General features: G+C 36.9%; 1 long non-coding RNA gene across 1 annotated transcript in view; it reads right to left on the bottom strand.

Annotated features, from left to right (window-relative positions):
* LOC105370245 (uncharacterized) overlaps positions 1–21470 on the bottom strand; it is a 79468-nt gene extending 57998 nt beyond the window's left edge. Inside the window, exon 1 of the long non-coding RNA XR_942035.1 lies at positions 21339–21470. This is a non-coding gene — a long non-coding RNA (uncharacterized LOC105370245). The remainder of the gene's footprint in view (positions 1–21338) is intronic.
* Between the last annotated feature and the right edge of the window lie 1000 nt (positions 21471–22470).

Here is a 22470-nt window from a genome sequence, read left to right as displayed (position 1 = left end):
GTCTTTGTCTTTTGTGATATATGAGAAATCTTAAAAAAATAAAGGAATTTGGCTTCATATGAACCAAACTTGGGTATACTTGTGATCATAACATTTATAGTCATTATGTGCTAAATTGTTAACACAATTTTCATTGTGATTTTTGGGTTGAGTTTCTTATATTTCTAGTGCTTAGCCCACAGCCTGTCAATGATTAGATATTCAGTAAGTACTTGAAGAAAAAAATTGTTGCATATCATCAGATAGGATATACTGTGTATAATGACTTCCTATCAGGCATTTTTTTATCATTCCTAGATATTATATGCCTTATTATCAGGCTGTAAAACAATAACACTACAGATCAAGTATCAGTTACAGTTAAATGAAACAAGGGGTTTTAGATAAACATCATCTAACTAAAAATAACCTCAGATGACACATGTTTATTTCACAGTAATTGCACATATAGATAGCAAATTTTTTTTCACGTGTGGCTCATGATACACCAATTCAAGAAGCAAATTCTCTCATTTTTCTTCCAGATGCAATCTCTGATAAAATTACTTTGTGTATTGAGCAATACCAATCACACTTTTCTAAAATATCCACACAAGCATGCATGTTTAAAACATATTTTATGCCATTATTTTAGTTATTCTGTTAGCCTAAGCCTTACCAAGTCAGCATCCTAAAGTTAGCTTAGTTTCTGATTTATAGCAGAGAGAAGGTTGAATATTTTGGAAGATCATATTATATGGAGCTTCTACTTTTGTTTTATATATCTATCTTGTAAGTACTTTTTAAAATAATGCTGTTTGCTTATGAAAATGTGATTGACAAGAAAATCCCATCAGTTCCTTCTTCACTTGACCATGCCAATTTCATTAGGCAAAACATATTCTATTCAGATTTGCTTTTGAATTTGCATCTACCTGATATCTAGCTTCAGATACTACAATTATGTTATCATGTTTTAGGTGGTCAGTCTTTGTCCATTTCCTGAAAATTGACATTATTCATATATGAAATATATTTTATGAAATTCTAGATTTCTTATAAGAATATGGTTATCGCTGTTGATAGAACTATATTGAAATTCTAGTTTATTCACTCTCTATGTGCATGATCTTAGGCAAAGCCATTAAAATATCTTGGTCTTTAGATTTACATCTGTAAACACAGACACACTGTGAAAATTAATAAGATAATATGTGCAAAGTAAGTAGCATAGATTTCAGGTTATACAAATAACTCAATGTTATTTTTCTATTGTCAGGTTGTGTCTTCTATTCTTCTTCACAAGGGCAAATCCAATGTTAAGTGAGAATGTAAGGACCAATGTCCCTTCAGAAAAATGTGAGTTAGGTTGGGAAATGGTAGGCAACAGAATTAAATAAAAAATAAAAACAACAACAACTAATAATCACTGAATGTCAACTATATGTAGTGATTTTGAAGTTTTAGATGCATTTTCTAATATAATTACAAGACACCTGTGGAGTGAAAATATCACTCACAATTTACAGAGGACAAAGCTGAAACATCTGTCTCCCCCAAGATCACACATTAAATTGGTAGTCATAAGCTGTTGGGTTTCTATGTCTGTGTACCTTCAGTGAAAATAAAAAATTATTTCTCTTGTCCCTCTAGATTCATAAACATCTTCTCAACAAAGAAATGGTTGCTACAGGAGAAAAAGTATTTCTGTATCTCATCTCCCCCATAAAAGGATAAAATATTTTTATTTGTTATTTTCAAAGATCGAAATGTTCTTCTTCCTTCTGCTCTTTCCATATCATAAATCTAGATATGATTTGTAAATAATAGCTATCAATAGAGTGACTTCTCTTAGCAGAATTCTCTAGTGACTTTTCTCAGTAAATTTAAGAAAACTTTGTCTGCTTTAAATAGCATAAAAGATTTCTAAAATTGTAAGTATTCCCAAAAGAAGAATTCTAAGGTTTAAGTGTGTCTTGTTACCATCACCCCTAGGAGGTACTTTTAGAAACTATAAGATATAGGTAATACATATTCAGCCTTGACACTGCATAAAAATTGAAGAGACTTTTAGCTTCAGCTATGACTGTAAAGAATTAGAAGGTTTTCATTTCCATCCTCACAAACTGAAAATCAACAATTTTTCTTTGTCCCATTCTTCTTTGAGGTCACAGAACAAACCAACACCCTCAAATCTAGAAAGACAGGCAAATGCATAGAGTCACAGTCAAGATATGCCTACAAGGAGTAAAAGGTGCTGAAACCATAAACTGGTAGAAAAACTTACATGGTACTTTTGACTAAAGTGGGAGGCTGATTGCAAAATGGTAACTGAATGAGAAATTTGTGGGTCTGTAGTCTTGGGGATGGCATATTTTTGTGAGTTTTACCTCTGGAAACCTCATCCTGGTTCTCATGTGCATGACTCTGGCAGGAGGATGGTAAGAGTGTAATCATTGTGGAACACAAACTGAGCTCTCTCTGTAATAAATGTTTACTCTCTAGATGGAAGAACTTTGCAGGTCTTTATCCCACATGGGAGAAGGGTATTTCTTCCACTTTATCTCCTTCTATCTTCCCGTCTCAACTAAAGGGGAAATGTCAACATGTTCAAGTATTTAAAGAAACAGAGCACGGTAGCCATGGAGAAGACTAGAGTATTGAGGGAGCTGAGGGGGAGAAGCTATTCCACTGGATAAACATGTTTGAAGGTGACAGAAGTCTACTAAAAGACTGACACTTAATTGGAAGATTATATTATACTCTCCATCTTTCACACCTAAACACTACATCAAGCAGGCTCCAGTAAAAATAATTGTGGATTGTAGCTGAGAAAGCTGTAAGGCACAGAATCTCTCTGAGGAGTCCTTAGGAAACCCAGAGCCAAGAGAGGAGACATAAACAAGGACAGTAGAGGAAACTGAATTTTCTAGAACCTATAGCCACAGCAAGCATGACAGCAAACTAAAATGCGAAAACAAACAAAAGCATATCAGAAGATCCCAAAATTGTGGAAAATCTTCAAAAGGAATTTTATGATTCCAGTTGTGTAACTGGAATATCAGAAGTAGAAGAGAAATTTGAGCAGAAGAAATACATGAAGAAAGAATTGACAAGAAGTCTTCAAAATATCAACAGAAACCAAACCACAGATATAGAAACCTGAGAGAACACTAAGCAGAATAAATATTTAAATCAAAGAACTTTAAAGTAATTGAAAGCTAATTCATTTAAAAGATCAGTGAAATTGATAAACCTCTCATCATGCTATCTAAGAAAAAATCGAGAAGACACAATTTAACAACATCACAAATAAAACAACTGTCATCAATCCTGATCCTATAGTGCACATTGAAAGGAAAATTACAGAATGCTATGAACAATTCTATGGCCAAAAATTAATGCCTTAGATGAAATGGATTAGATCCTTGAAACATATAAACTACCCAAACTCACAAAATTAGCAATATGTAACCTGATTATCACTGTATCTATTTAAGAAATTGAATCAGTGATGATGGTCTTACACAGAAGTAAGCACCAGGCTCAAATGGTTTTACTGGTTAATTCTATCAACCATTCCAGGAAGAAATGGTGTCAAATCTTTACAATCTCATCCAGAAACTGGAAATAGTGAGCGTGTTTCCTAACTAGTTGATAAATGGAACAGAAAAAGAGCCTGGAGATAGACCTACAAAAATACAGTCTACAAAATTTTGACAGAGGAGAAAGGGCAATTCAATAGAGAAATGATAGTCTTTTCAACAAAGAGTGCTGGGACATTTGGACATCCATTTACCAAAATTGAACCAAGAAACACGTTTTATACCTTTCACAATACAGGTATACCTTTGACATTATGTTTTGGTTCTAGACCACCACAGTGAGATGAATATTGCAATAAAGTAAGCCACATCAATTTTTTAGTTTCTCAGTGCATATAAAAGTTATGTTTGTACTACACTGTAGTCTATTAAGTGTGCAATAGAATTATATCTAAAATGTATATACCTTGGTATACACAAATATAGATATTATATACCTCAGATATATCATCTGATAATTCAGTAAATCATAGTCGTTTTCTTCCTGGAGGGTCTTGCCTTGACATTGATGACTCTTGATTGGTCAGGTTGGCAACTGCTGAAGGTTGGTGTGGTTGTGGCAATTTATTAAAACAAGTCCACAAGGAAGTTTGTCACATTTATGGTTTTTCCCTTTCAAGAAAGTGTTCTCTGTAGCAGGCAATGCTGTTTGATAGCATTTTATCCATAGTAGAGCTACTTTTAAAATTGGAGTCGATCCTCTCAAACCTTACCACTGTTTTATCCACTGGGTTTATGTAATGCACTAAATTCTTTTTGTCATTTCAACAATCTGCCACAGAATCATCACCCAGAGTAGATTCCATCTCAAAAACAGCACCTTCCTTGCTCATCTATCAGAAGCAACTCCTCATCCATTCAAGTTTTATCACAAGATTGTAGCAATTCAGCGATTCACTGTTAATGAACTATCTTCAGGCTTCACTTTTAATTCCAGCTTTCTTGCTATTTATACCATATCTCCAGTTGCTTTTTCCACTGAAATCTAATCCTGCAAAGTCATTCATAAGGGGTGAAATCGACCTCTTCCAAACAATTGTTAAAGTTTCTATTTTGAACTCCTCCCGTAAATCACACGTTCTTAATGGCATACAGAATGATGAATCTTTTCCAGAAGTTTTCAATTTCCTTTGCCAGATCCATAAGAGGAATCGCTCTCTGTGGCAGCTATAGACATATAAAATGTATTTCTTAAATCATAAGACTTGAAAATTGAAATTACTTCTTAATTCATGGGCTACAGAATGGTTGTTGTGTTAGCAGGCTTAGGAACAATATTAAACTCCTTGTACATCTCCGTCAGAGCTCTTGGGTGACTAGATGCGTTGTCACTGAGCTCTATTGTTTTGAAAGAAGTCTTTTATTTCTGAGCAGTAGTTTTCCACAGTGGGCTTACTATTCTATAAAGAGGTATGTTGTCATACAGGCTTTGTTCCATTTCTAAAATACAGGCAGAGTAGATTTAACACATTTCTGGCAGGGTACAGTGGCTCATGCCTGTAATCCTGGCAACTTGGGAGGCTGAGGCGGGCAGACCACTTGGGGTCAGGAGATTGAGACCAGCCTAGCAAACATGGTGAAACCCTGTCTTTACTAAAAGTACAAAAATTAGCCAGGCATGGTGGTGGGTGCCTGTAATTTCAGACACCTGGGAGGCTGAGGCAGAAGAATCACTTGAACCCGGGAGGCGGAGGTTGCAGTGAGCCAAGATCAGGCCAGTACACTACAGCCTGGATGAGAACAGCAAGATTCTGTCTCAAAAAAAAAAAAGAAAAAATAATAATAATAACTAAAAAAAAATTCTTAACGGTCCTAGAATTTTTGGAATGGTAAATGAGCATTGGCTTCAACTTAAAGTCACCAGCTCACCAGCTGCATTAGCTCCTAACAAGGAGTCAGCCTGTCCTTTGAAGCTTTGAAGCCAGGCATTAACTTCTCCTCTCTAGCTATGAAAGTCCCAGATGGCATTTTCTTCCAATAAAAGGTTTTGTTGGTGTACACTGCAAATCTGTTATTATAGACACTTTCATCAATTATCTTAGCTAGATCTTCTGGATGACTTGCTGTAGCTTTAGCATCAGTACTTTTTGTTTCACCTTATACTTTTATGTTATGAAGATGGCTTCTTTCTTTAAACCTCCTGAACAAACTTCTGCTAGCTTCCGACTTTTCTTCTGCAGCTTCCTCACCTACCTCAGTCTTCAAAGAATTAAAGAAACTTAGGGCCTTGCTCTAGATTATGCTTTGGAATGATTATTCCCAATTATTATTATTTTTATTATTATTAGTATTATACTTTAAGTTTTAGAGTACATGTGCACAATGTGCAGGTTACTTACATATGTATAAATGTGCCATGCTGGTGTGCTGCACCCATTAACTCGTCATTTAGCATTAGGTATATCTCCTAATGCTATCCCTCCCCACTCCCCCCACCCCACAACAGTCCCCAGAGTGTGATGTTCCCCTTCCTGTGTCCATGTGTTCTCATTGTCCAATTCCCATCTATGAGTGAGAACATGCGGTGTTTGGTTTTTTGTCCTTGTGATAGTTTACTGAGAATGATGATTTCCAATTTCATCCATGTCCCTACAAAGGACATGAACTCATCATTTTTTATGGCTGCATAGTATTCCATGGTGTATATGTGCCACATTTTCTTAATCCAGTCTATCATTGTTGGACATTTGGGTTGGTTCCAAGTCTTTGCTATTGTGAATAGTGCCACTATAAATATACGTGTGCATGTGTCTTTATAGCAGCATGATTTATAGTCCTTTGGGTATATACTCAGTAATGGGATGGCTGGGTCAAATGGTATTTCTAGTTCTAGATCCCTGAGGAATTGCCACACTGACTTCCACAATGGTTGAACTAGTTTACAGTCCCACCAACAGTGTAAAAGTGTTCCTAGTTCTCCACATCCTCTCCAGCACCTGTTGTTTCCTGACTTTTTAATGATTGCCATTCTAACTGGTGTGAGATGGTATCTCATTGTGGTTTTCACTTGCATTTCTCTGATGGCCAGTGATGATGAGCATTTTTTCATGTGTCTTTTGGCTGCATAAATGTCTTCTTTTGAGAAGTGTCTGTTCATATCCTTAGCCCACTTTTTGATGGGATTGTTTGATTTTTCTTGTAAATTTGTTTGAGTTCATTGTAGATTCTGGATATTAGCCCTTTGTCAGATGAGTAGGTTGCAAAAATTTTCTCCCATTTTGTAGGTGTCTGTTCACTCTGATGGTAGTTTCTTTTGCTGTGCAGAAGTTCTTTAGTTTAATTAGATCCCATTTGTCAATTTTGGCTTTTGTTGCCATTGCTTTTGGTGTTTTAGACATGAAGTACTTGCCCATGCCTATGTCCTGAATGGTAATGCTTAGGTTTTCTTCTAGGGTTTTTATGGTTTTAGGTCTAACATTTAAGTCTTTAATCCATCTTGAATTAATTTTTGTATAACGTGTAAGGAAAGGATCCAGTTTCAGCTTTCTACATATGGCTAGCCACTTTTCCCAGCACCAATTATTAAATAGGGAATCCTTTCCCCATTGCTTGTTTTTGTCAGGTTTGTCAAAGATCAGATAGTTGTAGATATGCGGCATTATTTCTGAGGACTCTTTTCTGTTCCATTGATCTATATCTCTGTTTTGGTACCAGTACCATGCTGTTTTGGTTACTGTAGCCTTGTAAGTATAGTTTGAAGTCAGGTAGCGTGATGCCTCCAGCTTTGTTCTTTTGGCTTAGGATTGACTTGGCCATGCAGGCTCTTTTTTGGTTCCATATGAACTTTAAAGTAGTTGTTTTCCAATTCTGTGAAGAAAGTCATTGGTAGCTTGATGGGGATGGCATTGAATCTATAAATTACCTTGGGCAGTATGGCCATTTTCATGATATTGATTCTTCCTACCCATGAGCATGGAATGTTCTTCCATTTGTTTGTATCCTCTTTTATTTCATTGAGCAGTGGTTTGCAGTTCTCCTTGAAGAGGTCCTTCACGTCCCTTGTAAGTTGGATTCCTAAGTATTTTATTCTCTTTGAAGCAATTGTGAATGGGAGTTCACTCATGATTTGGCTGTTTGTCTGTTATTGGTGTGTAAGAATGCTTGTGATTTTTGTACATTGATTTTGTATCCTGAGACTTTGCTGAAGTTGCTTATCAGCTTAAGGAGATTTTGGCCTGAGACAGTGGGGTTTTCTAGATATACAATCATGTCATCTGCAAACAGGGACAATTTGACTTCCTCTTTTCCTAACTGAATACCCTTTATTTCCTTCTCCTGCCTAATTGCCCTGGCCAGAACTTCCAACACTATGTTGAATAGGAGTGGTGAGAGAGGGCATCCCTGTCTTGTGCCAGTTTTCAAAGGGAATGCTTCCAGTTTTTGCCCATTCAGTATGATATTGGCTGTGGGTTTGTCATAGATAGCTCTTATTATTTTGAGATACATCCCATCAATACCTAATTTATTGAGAGTTTTTAGCATGAAGGGTTGTTGAATTTAGTCAAAGGCCTTTTCTGCATCTATTGAGATAATCATGTGGTTTTTGTCTTTGGTTCTGTTTATATGCTGGATTACATTTATTGATTTCCGTATATTGAACCAACCTTGCATCCCAGGGATGAAGCCCACTTGATCATGGTGGATAAGCTTTTTGATGTGCTGCTGGATTTGGTTTGCCAGTATTTTATTAAGGATTTTTGCATCGATGTTCATCAGGGATATTGGTCTAAAATTCTCTTTTTTGGTTGTGTCTTTGCCAGGCTTTGGTATCAGGATGATGCTGGCCTCATAAAATGAGTTAGGGAGGACTCCCTTTTTTTCTATTGATTGGAATAGTTTCAGAAGGAATGGTACCAGTTCCTCCTTGTACCTCTGGTAGAATTTGGCTGTGAATCCATCTGGTCCTGGACTCTTTTTGGTTGGTAAGCTATTGATTATTGCCACAATTTCAGATCCTGTTATTGGTCTATTCAGAGATTCAACTTCTTCCTGGTTTAGTCTTGGGAGAGTGTATGTGTCAAGGAATTTATCCATTTCTTCTAGATTTTCTAGTTTATTTGCGTAGAGGTGTTTGTAGTATTCTCTGATGGTAGTTTGTATTTCTGTGGGATCGGTGGTGATATCCGCTTTATCATTTTTTATTGCATCTGTTTGATTCTTCTCTCTTTTTTTCTTTATTGGTCTTGCTAGCGTTCTATCAATCTACAGAACTCTCCACCCCAAATCAACAGAATATACATTTTTTTCAGCACCACACCACACCTATTCCAAATTGACCACATAGTTGGAAGTAAAGCTGTCCTCAGCAAATGTGAAAGAACAGAAATTATAACAAACTGTCTCTCAGACCACAATGCAATCAAACTAGAACTCAGGATTAAGAAACTCACTCAAAACTGCTCAACTACATGGAAACTGAACAACCTGCTCCTGAATGACTACTGGGTACGTAACGAAATGAAGGCAGAAATAAAGATGTTCTTTGAAACCAACGAGAACAAAGACACAACATACCAGAATCTCTGGGACACATTCAAAGCAGTGTGTAGAGGGAAATTTATAGCACTAAATGCCCACAAGAGAAAGCAGGAAAGATCCAAAATTGACAACCTAACATCACAATTAGAAGAACTAGAAAAGCAAGAGCAAACACATTCAAAAGCTAGCAGAAGGCAAGAAATAACTAAAATCAGAGCAGAACTGAAGGAAATAGACAAAAAAAAAAACCCTTCAAAAAATTAATGAATCCAGGAGCTGGTTTTTTGAAAGGATTGTTCCCAATTATTAAGGGAATATTGTGGCTGGTTTGATCTTCTAGCCAGACCACTAAAACTCTCTCCAATCAGCAATAAGGCTGTTCCACTTTCTTATCATGCATGTATTCACTGGAATAGCACATTTAATTTCCTTCAAGAACTTTTTCCTCATATTCTCAACGTGGCTGTTTGGCACACAAGGGCTACGCTTTGGCCTCTCTTAGCTTTCTACATGCCTTCCTTACTGAGCTTAATCATTTCTAGCTTTTGATTTAAAGTGAGAGATATGTGACTCTTCCTTTCACTTGAATGCTTATAGGCCATTGAAGGGTTATTAATTGGCCTAATTCCAATACTGTGTCTAGAATAGGGAGTCCCCAGGAGAGGAAGACAGATAGGGAAATGGCTCTTTAGTGGTACACTGAGAATATACTCATATTTATTGGTTAAGTTTGATATCTTACATGGGTACAGTTGTTGGCTCCCCAAAACAATCACGACAGTAACATGAAAGATCAATGATTACAATCGCCATCACAGAGATAATCACAACGAAGTGCATTTTGACATGGAGCAAATACTCATAATTTTGGAAAAAATAAATAATCGTATATCACAAAGAAATAGATTGTTATAAGGGAATACTAGAATCTAAATAGCTGATATTAAAAATTTAATAGAGAATATTAGGTGAATTGCCCAAACTTCAGCTCTTATAATTTGTGTGACTTGAGCATCTTTTACTTTTCAGAAAAAAAATCACCAGTAAGATATAAATGAAGTTTCTTTGTTTTGATATGTTAGTTTGTAGTGTTCCACCTCTCAGAGTTAATGATTTCTAACATGTGTTTAGTCATTCAACTAGTATTTATTATGCTCTGATCTTGTGCCAGGTACTGGGAATACATAAGTGGAAACACCTGACAGATATCTCGGACTTCATCATCCTTAAAATCTATGAAATAGATAGACAATAAACAAGACAGAAAAGTAAAATATGTGGAATTTTAGATACTGATATGTGCTAAGAAATAAAAACAATGTAGGAAGGAGAACTGAAATTTTCGGCAAGGAAGCCAGTGAAGTCCTAGATGACAAAGTGCCTTTTATAAAGAACTAATCTGATTTAGGATAAGAGGGAGAAACAAGAAGGGAGGGAGGGAGGGGAAGGGAGGGGAGGGGAGGGGAGGGAAGGATTTAGTGTCTGGCTTGTTTGATAAACTGAAAGATGTTACCTATGGTTAAGAAAAGTACTTGACGGAGGCAGTACAAGATGAGATCTCAGAAGTAATGGAAGAGGTCAGATCTTGTAGGTACTTTAAGGCCTATATATATATATATATATATATATATATATATATATATTCTGATTTTCCTTTGAGTGATGTGGGAAGACATTGGATGGTTTTGAGCAAAGATATAACACGAGCTGGCTTATATTTTAATAAGATCACAGTGGCTGCAATTTTGAGAGGAAATGGAAAACAAGGCAGAAGAAAGACAATAGAGACAGTTATTTCAATAACCCACATGAGAAAGATTGTTAGCTTGTTGTAAAGTGAAAGGTGGTCTAATTCTGAATTTTGAAGAGAAGCCAGAGAATTTCCTGATGGTTTTGAGAGGCAAAAGAAAGGTGAGTCAAAAATGATTCAAATATTTTTGCCTACATGACTGGAAAGGTAAAGTTGCCATTGGCTGAGATATGAACTATCGTGGGAAAAGAAAAAATTAAAAAGGAATATTAGAGGCTCAGTTTTGGATATGTTACATTTTGGATAATTATATACATCTAAGTACATGTAATAAGTAAAGAGTTGAATAAATGGGTTTGAAGTAAAAAGAAGTATAATAGAAACTTAAATTTAGAATTCATCAGGATGTAAATGGATTTTAAAACCAGAAGATAAGTTGAAATTATCCAAGGCGTGAGTATATGTATTTAAGATGAGATTCAAAGAGCATGGCCAAAATAAACTTAAAATATAGAAGCTGGAGAGATGGACAGCAAGTACCAACTGTAAGGTTAATGGAAAACAGGTGAGTGAGGTGCCCTGGAAGCTCAGTGGAGAAATTTTTTTAAGGGAGAAGAGTGATCACTTGAATCAAAGGATGCTCATAGGTCAAGTAAGATAAGGACTGAGAAATAGTGATTGGATTTAGAATCTATTACTTTAGGTCTTTGGTAACTTTAGTAAGAGCATTTTCTTGGTAGTGATGTAAAAAAAAAAGAAAAACCTGACTGGAATGGTTCATGAGAAAAGGAATTGAAAGTGGCAAGTAGAAACAATACTTTCAAGGACATTCATAGCACAAAGAATAAGAAAAATGGGATTGTAGCTGAAAAGGAAAATAGGTTAAGATAAAATTCATTATTATTATTATTATTTTTAATTTAATTTTGAGACTTGCTCTGTTGCCCAGGCTGGAGTGCAGTGGCATGATCTCGGCTCACTGCAAGCTCCACCTCCCGAGTTCACGCCATTTTCCTGCCTCAGCCTCTGGAGTAGCTGGGACTACAGGCGCCCACCACCACACCCAGCTAATTTTTTTGTATTTTTAGTAGAGACGGGGTTTCACCGTGTTAGCCAGGATGGTCTGGATCTCCTGACCTCGTGATCCTCCTGCCTCAGCCTCCCAAAGTGCTGGGATTATAGGCGTGAGCCACAGCGCCCAGCCAGAAACTTGATTTCGTAAGGGAACTTGGGAGTATAAATCATGCTGAAGAGTAACCCTGACTAAAGGAAAGTTAGCTGAACAACAACATGCATCAGTGGTTCTTTGTTTTCCCTAGTGACAAATCCCTAGTACGTCTGATGCAAAACTCTCCATTAATCGGAGACAGCTCTCTGAACAAAAGCCCTAGGTGCTGGCCACCTGAAGTGAAAGCACGCTGAAACCAAGGGCCAAGCAACAAGCAAACAAACAAACAAACAAACAAAAAGAAACAGAAGGTGTCTCAGAGGAGCATGATGCACTATTCAATACAATCACTGGCTGAGAATGAACTTAAGAGAGAAGACATTGGAAATTTGAAAAGCGAAGAGAAAGAATAAAAGAATTGTCTAAGATGGTAGGAGTCTAGCTAAGAGTCCAAACGAAAATGGACTTGGCTAATAGATTGAAACTGCTGCGAGAACTAAGAAGCTACTACATTTAAAACGAGATGAATCACTAGGAGTGAGTTTTCCTCTAGCCACATTCATCATAGAGCAGGAAGAAAGATAGATTTAACCAAGATTGTTGTTTTGCTAAAAGACTATGACAAAAAGACAAGGGCCAGTGGACTGAAGGGTATATGAAAGAAACAAGAACGGTTTACCATGTGATTTAAGTTGGGTAAGACAGGAAAAGAAGACATGGAGAGTGAGGGACCAAGCATAATTTAGTCAGATTAATGGAAGTGGGTTGAGAGATTGTTCAAATTGGGGTATTTGTAGAAAATAGCTAGAAACATAGGAAATGGCAGTAGGAGAGCTAGGCATTTTCTGATTAGAAAGGGAATAAAGTTGTGGTAATGATAAAATCAAAGTAGGATCACAGAAAGGAATGGATAAGATAGAATGGAGGAAAAGATAATTGAAAGAGAGAAAGTTAGAACCCCAAGATGCCAACATGTTGACAGGAACATGAGTGTAGATATTGATGTTATGAAAAATTATGACAGAAATAGTGTCGAGCTACTAAAGAAAATATGCGCTAAAAATTATTACCCTGGGGCTAAAATCTTCAAGGAATAAGGGGAAGTAACTTAATTGGTAAATGACTGCAATTCAAGGAACTGTGATGGGAGGTGTAATCTGATTATTTGAATGTCAAAGCAGAAGGAACAGAGAAGGGCAATATTCTAAGTGCCATAATGAACAACAGTCACTGTACCTCCAAATCCAGTATGATGAGGACTCTGGAAAAGTCCTATCTTGAAATGGCTTCAGGAGAAGCAGTACCATCAGAGGCAGACAAAGAAATTCAAGAAGTTAATTCAGGAAGAAAAAGAAAAGATGGAGGAGAAAAGAGGAGCATATTGGCAATTTACATTGAGTTTCAGAGGATATAGTGAAGAATTTTTAGATGAGAAGAGAGTTGTACAAAAACAGTAGAATTAGGGGTTTGGAAATGAGGCGTGATCTGGGATTTGGGACTTTTTATTGGACTGCTATGAACAAGGAAGAAGGGCATGATGGCATTGGTTCAAAAGGACATAAGTCAGCGTTAAAGGAAGTATGAGTGCTGAGTTGGAAAAGGGTCTTACCAGGATAAAGAAGGGATCTTAGGCTCCCACTGGAATAGGCTTTGGTCAATACAAAAGTAGACAGAAGAGTGAAGGGAAAGTTGTGTTTTGCAGAGGGGTGATCCGAATCTTAATGTGAGGGCTCCCTTCTGGTGCATCCTTATGATGGTCTGCAGAGGGCTCTTACTCTAAACACTGCCTCTCTCTTGGCCTTAGACATCCATCTGTAATTTGAAAAGACTAAAACAGGTTAAATTTGAGAAACTTTTTGCCCCCAAGAGAATGGCACCTGTTTTAATATGCTGTGATAAAAAGGTGCTTAACTTTTATTCTTGCTAACCATTTTATATTAAATTACATATGTGTGTATATGTACTTGACATGCCCTAAATTATTTTTGGCTTTTTCCCATTTTAATTAATTGGGTATTTTTTAAATTTGCCATACAATTGATTGTACCTACTGACTTTTTCAAATCCTAATCTGGGGTTTTTCTTCTATAACTACAACATTACATAATGGCATTAATTTACCTAAGTGCTGTAATTAGAAAAATTATCATCTTTTCTGCTTGCTCTATTAATTTTGATTCTTCGTGTTAGTCCTTTTGGTCAAGTTGTTCTGCAGTGTTGGCTATCAAATGTACTTATTTTCCTACATGAGATATCTGTTAGGTTGCCTTTAGGATCCTTTGCCCAGCCTACTTGTGATTAAAGACTTGGCTGGAGGTTCTACAACTTTTGTTTGCTCCTTACTAGAGGAGCAGTAGAAAGGCAGGGAAGGCAGTGGGCACAGTGCTTTAGAAGCAAATCTTCTGCTTATGGGCATCACATTCTACCCGAGTATCGTCCACTGTCTGGGGCATTGCCCTGTTTCTCTACACCAAATTCCTGAACTTTGTGCTTTTGCCTGCAGGCATATGCCTCAGTGGCTATTGCCTGATACAACTTAGCAGCATACAGAGGAAACATTTCCTGGCTGCCTCTTCAGGTTAATCAAAGAAATAACCTTTTAGGATAACACTGCCTCCCTTCCCTCCTTTTCAGTTGTTTTTCTCCATGAGCCCGTAATGACAGAAATACACTCTGGCATATATCTTAGATATAGATTCCTTCTTCAAACGAATTTTGTCTGTTTTCTATGTTTGAAGAATTCTGCACAGTTTATGAGACTCAGACTTTTCTCTTTCTTGTTTTCTAGCGCAATCATGTATTTTTGAATTTTTTTTGTCTCCAGAAATTTGATGTTGGGCAGGCAAGCTTAACATGTGCTTGTTTAGTCTTTGAGTCGAGTGAGAGATTGTCTCTCAATGAAAAGGTAGGGATTTTTGAACCTAAGGAAAGAGCAAGATTGTATATCACATGGAGACATCCTAGAACTAATATGTACAACTTGATCTACCCTTCAGAGAGATTTGGGAGAACTGCTATCAAAACTAGTTATAAGCAAAGTTTTGTAAACTTATGTATCAGCCATTCTCATGTCTGTACCAATGTTCTGTTTAGTGTAATTTAGCAGTATTTTATCTTCTCACAAACATTTATTAAACAATTGTGGGATAGATAAGAAAGAAGGTGTTTGTGATTGTTTCCAGTTACTAGTATGTAAATTTCTGGGGCCACATTGGAGAAAAGAAAACTGAGTTCTGTATTTGAAGTAGTTATTTTAAAAATATAATTAATAGAAGAAAAATATTAAATTACAGATTCAACCCTTTGTTTCTGGACCAGTATAGAGCAGACATGAAAAGCAATTAGGCTGCTCACCTGTCTGAAGCATTGTATATTATATATAATCTAAGGAAGTAATTTCATTACCTAATAAGCCACATTGGGAGTATATTTCTAGTGCCTGTTACCACTCTAGAAACAACACCACTAAAATAAGTCAAAGAAATAATTGTGTTTAGAGAGTACTAATACAGAATAGATTTTTTAAAATAGTAAACTTTCCTTAAAATAAAGCTGATTTGGGAAAACAATATTCTATTTTTTCCCCACTATTTTCAGTGTTTTCAGAACTTCAGACCCATATCTCCAGACCTCATGTCCCAGGGAAGATAATAAATGCTGGGTTGAAAATGTCAAGTTCATGTTGGGACAGTCAGAACCAAGAGGAAAGGTTCTAAGTTAGAGGAGAAAGAAAGGGATAAAAGAAGAGGAAAAAAGATCTATTGAGCACTTGTTTTGTGTCATAGCATTTGCATATATTATCTCATGTAATTCACACAGCACCTCTGAATAACAGGCACAAAAACTATGATGAGTGTTTCTTTCCATCAATATCTCTCATTTGGTAGGCCACCTCTTGGTGTTGCAAACAGCTTTTGCTTTATGAAAAAAAAGGTATAGGGCTTTTGAAAGATTCTATGACAAGGAGAAAACTTGTCTATTTTAAAGCTATCTACATGTTGAGCTGGTTGGCTTTGCAGGACAGAAAATTTCCTCTTAGAATATTTCCTTTGCCTAAGAAAAACAATGTTTCTTTTTAATTTACCAAGGCATGGTTGTAAGAACAGTGTATAGATGGGAGAAGTTTAAGAAAAAATAAGAGTTAAATTACTTTGCAAAATGTAGTTACATAAGTTTTGGAAGTGGCTACTAGTGTTGAAGAAAGTGTGAAGAGAAATAAAAAAACCCAGATGCTGGAAACCTGATGGGGGACCAGGGCTCATGCAGAACTTAGCTAGTGAAGCTCCATATTGTCTAGAGAGACATAACACATAGAAGAGTGTTATGTAATATTCAATGTTCTCTTGTTTCATGTATTGTCCATGATTACTCAGTAACACAAACTAGCTAGATGTTTAACAATCTTACTTTTTCCTTCCTGGGCACACATGAAAACTACTTTTTCCAGCCTTCCTTAGAATTAATATGGGATAGGTCACTGATTCCAGAATGTGTGTGATGTGTATGTGCATGTATACATATAAAGTTTGCAAACCATTTTAAAATAAGTCATTTCAAAATTTATAGCTAATATTATAAACATTTCCTGGGTGGATGGAAGTGAAATACACTTATTCTTACCTTGGCTGTAACATGTTTTATATCATTTTCTATGTTTGCTTTGCTTTTGGGGCAATGAATTCAGAGGATTCCCTGAATGATGTGGTATATGATGATGGGAAGTGGTGGGCAACAGGGAAAGAAAAAGCAGCCATGTAAATCGAGCCTGGCTTGCAGAATTACTTATAGGTAGAGAGCCACTCGGAAGACTCACCACCTCAAAACTGTGTAGACAACTGTGACTTGTTATGTAAAACTGCTGAAATTTGGGGGTTTTCATAAAAGCTGGAGTTAGCATCATAACTCTAGTTATAATACATTTTCCAGTACCTTAAATCTTCAGTAAAACATATTTTCCCCCAAATCCCTATTTTAGTGGTATTATGGCACTATGGGGGCTGGCAAAGAAAACTGACAGCCTGGGAATTCTATGCAGTTACTTTCAGGAAACAACAAACAAAAACAGGTGTGTATGGTGGTGCTGGGATCATATAGTTAAAAAACAAACTAAAAGAAAAACAAAAACCTAGGATTTGTAATGATCCAGAAAAAGAGAACAACACTTTGTTTCAAACTGTACTGAAAGAAGATAACCTTTGGAGGATGACAGTAAATGGAGGTAGGGCAGGAAGTTTGTTCATGCTTTCAGATGGGATGAGGGCATCTATTTTACATGAGTTTTTTCAATCAAAATGTGACTCAGGAATTCTGGTGACTAAGATGAGAAGACACTGTGGTTAAAATAAGGGTTCTTCTACAGTTTTGAGATTTTGATATGAAGAGGCAGTGACATCTCACTGAGTAGTGGAAAGATTAATTTAAAAACATATTAAATGTACTTGGCACAAGATAGAAGGTCAACAAATTTTATATACTATTCAAATAGTCGTTTTCTGCATTTTTGTGTTTTTACTCTCAATTATAGACATGTTCTAAAATTATTAGAGTGCAGTTTTTTAACATTAAGCAGGAAGTATTTCAGAAGGCATAGTTTTCTTGCAGCCCAACATTTAATGAGTGTGTTTCAAGGTGTTGCCCTAAGTAAAATGCAGGAAATGTTATATAACATTAGGTACCAATTAAAAAATGTCTGCTGTGTTCCAAGCAATGTTAGCAAACATTATATGTCTATGCATATATACATATATATATACTTTAATTTTTCTTTAGTTTATTTTTTAAATTGGCAAGGAAAAGTATGTATTTGCCATGTACAACATGATACTTTGAAATATGTTTTCACTGTGGAATGGATAAATGGAATTAACATGTGCATCACCTTACATATCTATCATTTTTTTGTGGTAAGAACACTTAAAATGTAATCTCTTAGTGGTTTTCAATTATACTTTACCTTGTTATTAACTACAGCCACCATGTTGTAAAATAGATCTCTTTACCTTGTTTTTCCTGTCCAGTTGAAATTTTGTATCCTTTGACCAACAATTTCCCCAGCCCTACCCCAGCCTCTGACAACCACTATTTTACTTTCCGTTTTTATGAGTTCAACTGTTTTGGTCTCCACATATAAGTAAGATCATACAGTGTTTGTCTTACTGTGCTTGACTGGTTTCACTTAACATAATGTTCCCCAGGTTCATTTACGTTGTTGTAAATGACAAGATTACATTCTTTTTTAAGACAGTAAAATTCCATTGTGTATATACACTACATTTAAAAAAATCATTCATCCATTGATAAACATTTTCACAGCTTGCCTGCTGTAAATAGTGAAAATGCTGCAATAAACATGGGAGTGCAGATTTATCTTCACCATCCTGATTTCATTTCCTTTGGATGTATACCCAGTAGTGGGATTGCTGGATCATAGAGTCATTCTATTTTTAACTTTTTGAGGAAACTCCATACTTTTTTCCATAATGGCTATACTAATTTACGTTCTCATCAACACTGTGAAAGCATTCCCTTTTCTTCATATTCTCACCAGTACTTGTTGTTTTTCATCTTTTGATAACAGCCTTTCTAACAGCTGTGAGGTGATATTTCATTGTAATTTTAATTTGCATTTTCTTGATGATTAGTGACATTGAGCTTTTTTAAAAAATACTGTGAATGACCTCCTTTGAGAATTGTCTATTGTGATCCTTTGCCCAATTTTAAATCAGTTATTTCTTTTTTAGGTACTATTTGAGTTATTTATGTATTTTTTGGATATTGATCTCTTACAAGATGTGTGGTTTGCAAATATTTTTTCCTATTCCTTCGATTATCTCTCTCCTTTTTGAATGTTGGGTTTTCTTTTCTTTACAGAAGCATTTTAGTTTGAAGTATTTCCATTTGTCTATCTTTGCTGTTGCTGACTGTGCGTTTGAATTCATATTTAAAATATAATTGCCCAGACCAATGTTATGAAGCTTTTTTCCTATGTTTTCTTTTAGTAGTCTTAAACTTTAAAGACTCATGTTTAAGTCTTTAATCTATTTTGAGTTGACTTCTCTATGTGGCACAAGATAAGATTTTAATTTTGTTCTTCTACATGTGGATATCCAATTTTCCCAACACTGTTTAATAAAGGGACTGTTCTTTCCTTATTGTGTGTTCTTGGCATCTGTATTTGAAATCCATTGATGGTAAATATGTGGATTTATTTCTGGGATCTTTATTCTGTTCCATTGGTCAATACATCTGTTTCCATGCTAGTACTATGTTATTGTGATTATAGCATTGTAGTATATTTTGAAGGCAGGTTATGAGGTTTGTTTTAATTTCACTTTTGGGAAGTTAAGAAAACCTAGGATTAGATGAGTTAGAAAACTTTCTTTAAAATAAGACATAACGTAAATTGATAAACTAGGAGTCTCTAAATCTAAACCTTAATTTTATTCTACTTTCCATATTAATTCACTTTGATATGGTCATGGATATAATTTGCTGGGTATATACCCAAAGGAAAATAGAAAATAGATTATGCCAAAAAGACACATGCACTCATATTCACTGCCATGCTATCTGCAACATGGAATCAACTTGGGTGCCCATCAATGGTGGCTTGGATAAAGAAAATGTGGTACATATACGCCATGAAATGCTACACAGCCATAAAAAAGAATAAAATTATATTCTTTGCAGCAACATGGCTGGATCTGGAGGCCATAATCCTAAATGGATTAATGCAGAAACAGAAATCCAAAAATAGTATGTTCTCACTTATAAGTGGGAGCTAAAAATTGAGCACACCTGGGTATAAACATGGGAACCATAGGCACTATGGACTAGTAGAGGGTGGAGGAACGGAGGATGGTGCAGGTCGAAAAACCACCTATTGGGTACTATGCTCAGTACCTTGGTACAATGTATCCATGTAACAAACCTGCACATGTACTCCCTGTATCTAAAATAAAAGTTGAAAAATATATATATCATGAAACTGCAAATCTCTAGTGAAAATAAACACATTGCCAGGCGCGGTGGCTCATGTCTATAATCCCAGCACTTTGGGAGGCGGAGGCGGGCGGATCACAAGGTCAGGAAATCGAGACCATCCTGGCTAACATGGTGAAACCCTGTCTCTACTAAAAAAAAAAATACAAAAAATTGGCCGGGCGTGATGGTGGGTGCCTGTAGTCCCAGCTACTCAGGAGCCTGAGGCAGGAGAATGGCGTGAACCCATGAGGCAGAGCTTGCAGTGAGCTGAGATCTCGTCACTGCACTCCAGCCTGTGCAACAGAACTACACTCCATCTCAAAAAAAAAAAAATTGCCCAAATAATGTAGCATTAATCTGGTGTCTTGAGACATAATAGTGTAAGATACCACTACTAAGCCAAGTCTTTTGTTTATTGAATAAGAGAAACAGCACTGGTATCTCCTATGTGAGACTAGATGAGCAGTGTCACCCAGGACAGTGTTTCGTGACATATTTTCTCTTAGCTGGTTCCATGCCTATGTTGGTGTATTATTTGTTTTACACAGTTTGTTTATTACATATATGAGCAATAGCATATCCAATAAAACTAATGTCTCATGAGTGTTAAATAACTGCCCTAGTCTCTTGCAATAAAATTATATTCCTGATCAGAAATAGAATTTTGTGGAACAGTGTGTCAGAAAATAAAGCATTTAGTAAGTTTGTGGACGGTGTGACGGACAAACATAATAAGTAGGGAGGAGGAATTCTCATTCAATAACGTTTTATATTTCAAAGATGGCAAGTTACTGCTCCTTATGATGGATTCTGGTGGGTATACCCAACTATGTGACTTGAAAAAAATCAGGTAAAACCCAATTCATAATGGCCATTTAGGTGATATATTCACTTTTTTTTCCCACACGAATAGGTGTTCAGTCATTAAAAGGGCTGAGTACTCAGGACATATTACTTAAAAGATTAAGTCTATCCGCCACAAACTCTATAAGCGCCAGAGGCTACTCTATCACAAGGAACGAAAGGCAGAGTTGCATTTGTTGCAACCAGAACTACCTGGACTGCTGTTTCTGGGATCAAGTCAAATCTGTCAGCCTTACAGCCTTACACATTACTTGGTAAATTGTATACTAAAGAATCCTATAGCTGGCATACGTTGCCTCCAGAACCTAAAAGACCTAACAAATATAACGTTTCTTCACTTGTTCTTTTCTTCAATTTTAAAGATATAGTTACGTCATATACCACATTCCATTTGATTCATAGAAATTTCACTAAGACTCCTAAAACTTATTTAAGGTTGACCTTTGCACAAGGCATGTGGGACACCATCAATTTCCTGCTTGTACAGTGTTATAATCAGGACACCACCTACCTGTATTGGACCATACTGATGTACTATGAAATTGTGTCCGGAATTGGCGGGTTCTCAGTCTCAATGGCTTCCAGAATGAAGCCGCGGACCCTCGCGGTGACTGCTACAGTTCTTAAAGAGTGGCTGGGCACGGTGGTTCACGCCTGTAATCCCCGCACTTTGGGAGGCCCAGGCGGGCAGATGAGAAGATCGAGACCATCCTGGCTAACACCGTGAGACCCCGTCTCCACTAAAAATACAAAAAAATTCAGCCGGGCGTGGCAGCGGGCGCCTGTAGTCCCAGCTGCTCTGGAGGCTGAGGCAGGAGAATGGCATGAACCCGAGAGGCAGAGCTTGCAGTGAGTCGAGATTGCACTACACTCCAGCCTGGGCGACAGAGAAAAACACTGTCTCAAAAAAAAAAAAAAAAGGCGTGTCCGGAGTCCATTCCTTCTAATGTTCGGACGTGTTCAGAGATTTTGTCTTCTGGTGGGTTCGTGATCTCGCTGGCTTCAGGAGCGAAGCCGCAGACGTTCACTGTGCTACAGCTCTGAGGGCGGCACATCTGCAGTTGTTCGTTCCTCCCATCCAAAGTTGCTCATTCCTCCCAGTGGGTTTCTGGTCTCGCTGGCCTCAGAAGTGAAGCTGCAGACCTTCACAGTGAGTGTTACACATCATAAATGCAGTGCAGACCCAAAGAGTGAGCAGCAGCAAAATTTATTGCGAAGAACAAACCTTCCACAGCGTGGAACAAGACCCAAAGGGGTTGCCGCTGGGGCTTCCGGCAGCCTGCTTTTATTCCCTTATCTGGCCCCACCCACATCCTGCTGATTGGTCCATATTACAGAGAGCTGATTGGTCTGTTTTACAGAGAGCTGATTGGCCCATTTTGACAGGGTGCTGACTGGTGCGTTTACAATCCCTGAGCTAGACACAAAAGTTCTCCAAGTCCCCACTAGATTAGCTAGACACAGAGCACTGACTGGTGCATTCACAAACCTTGAGCTAGACACAGGGCACTGATTGGTGTGTTCACAAACCTCAAGCTGGACACAGAGTGCTGATTGGTGCATTTACAATCCCTTAGCTAGGCATAAAGGTTCTCCAAGTCCCCACCAGATTAGCTAGATACAGAGTGCTGATTGGTGCATTC

This window comes from Homo sapiens, chromosome 13 (assembly GCF_000001405.40).
Source record: "Homo sapiens chromosome 13, GRCh38.p14 Primary Assembly".
Taxonomy (NCBI): domain Eukaryota; kingdom Metazoa; phylum Chordata; class Mammalia; order Primates; family Hominidae; genus Homo; species Homo sapiens.
Note: the sequence above shows the minus strand (reverse complement) of the source record. Positions and strands in the feature narration are given on the sequence as shown.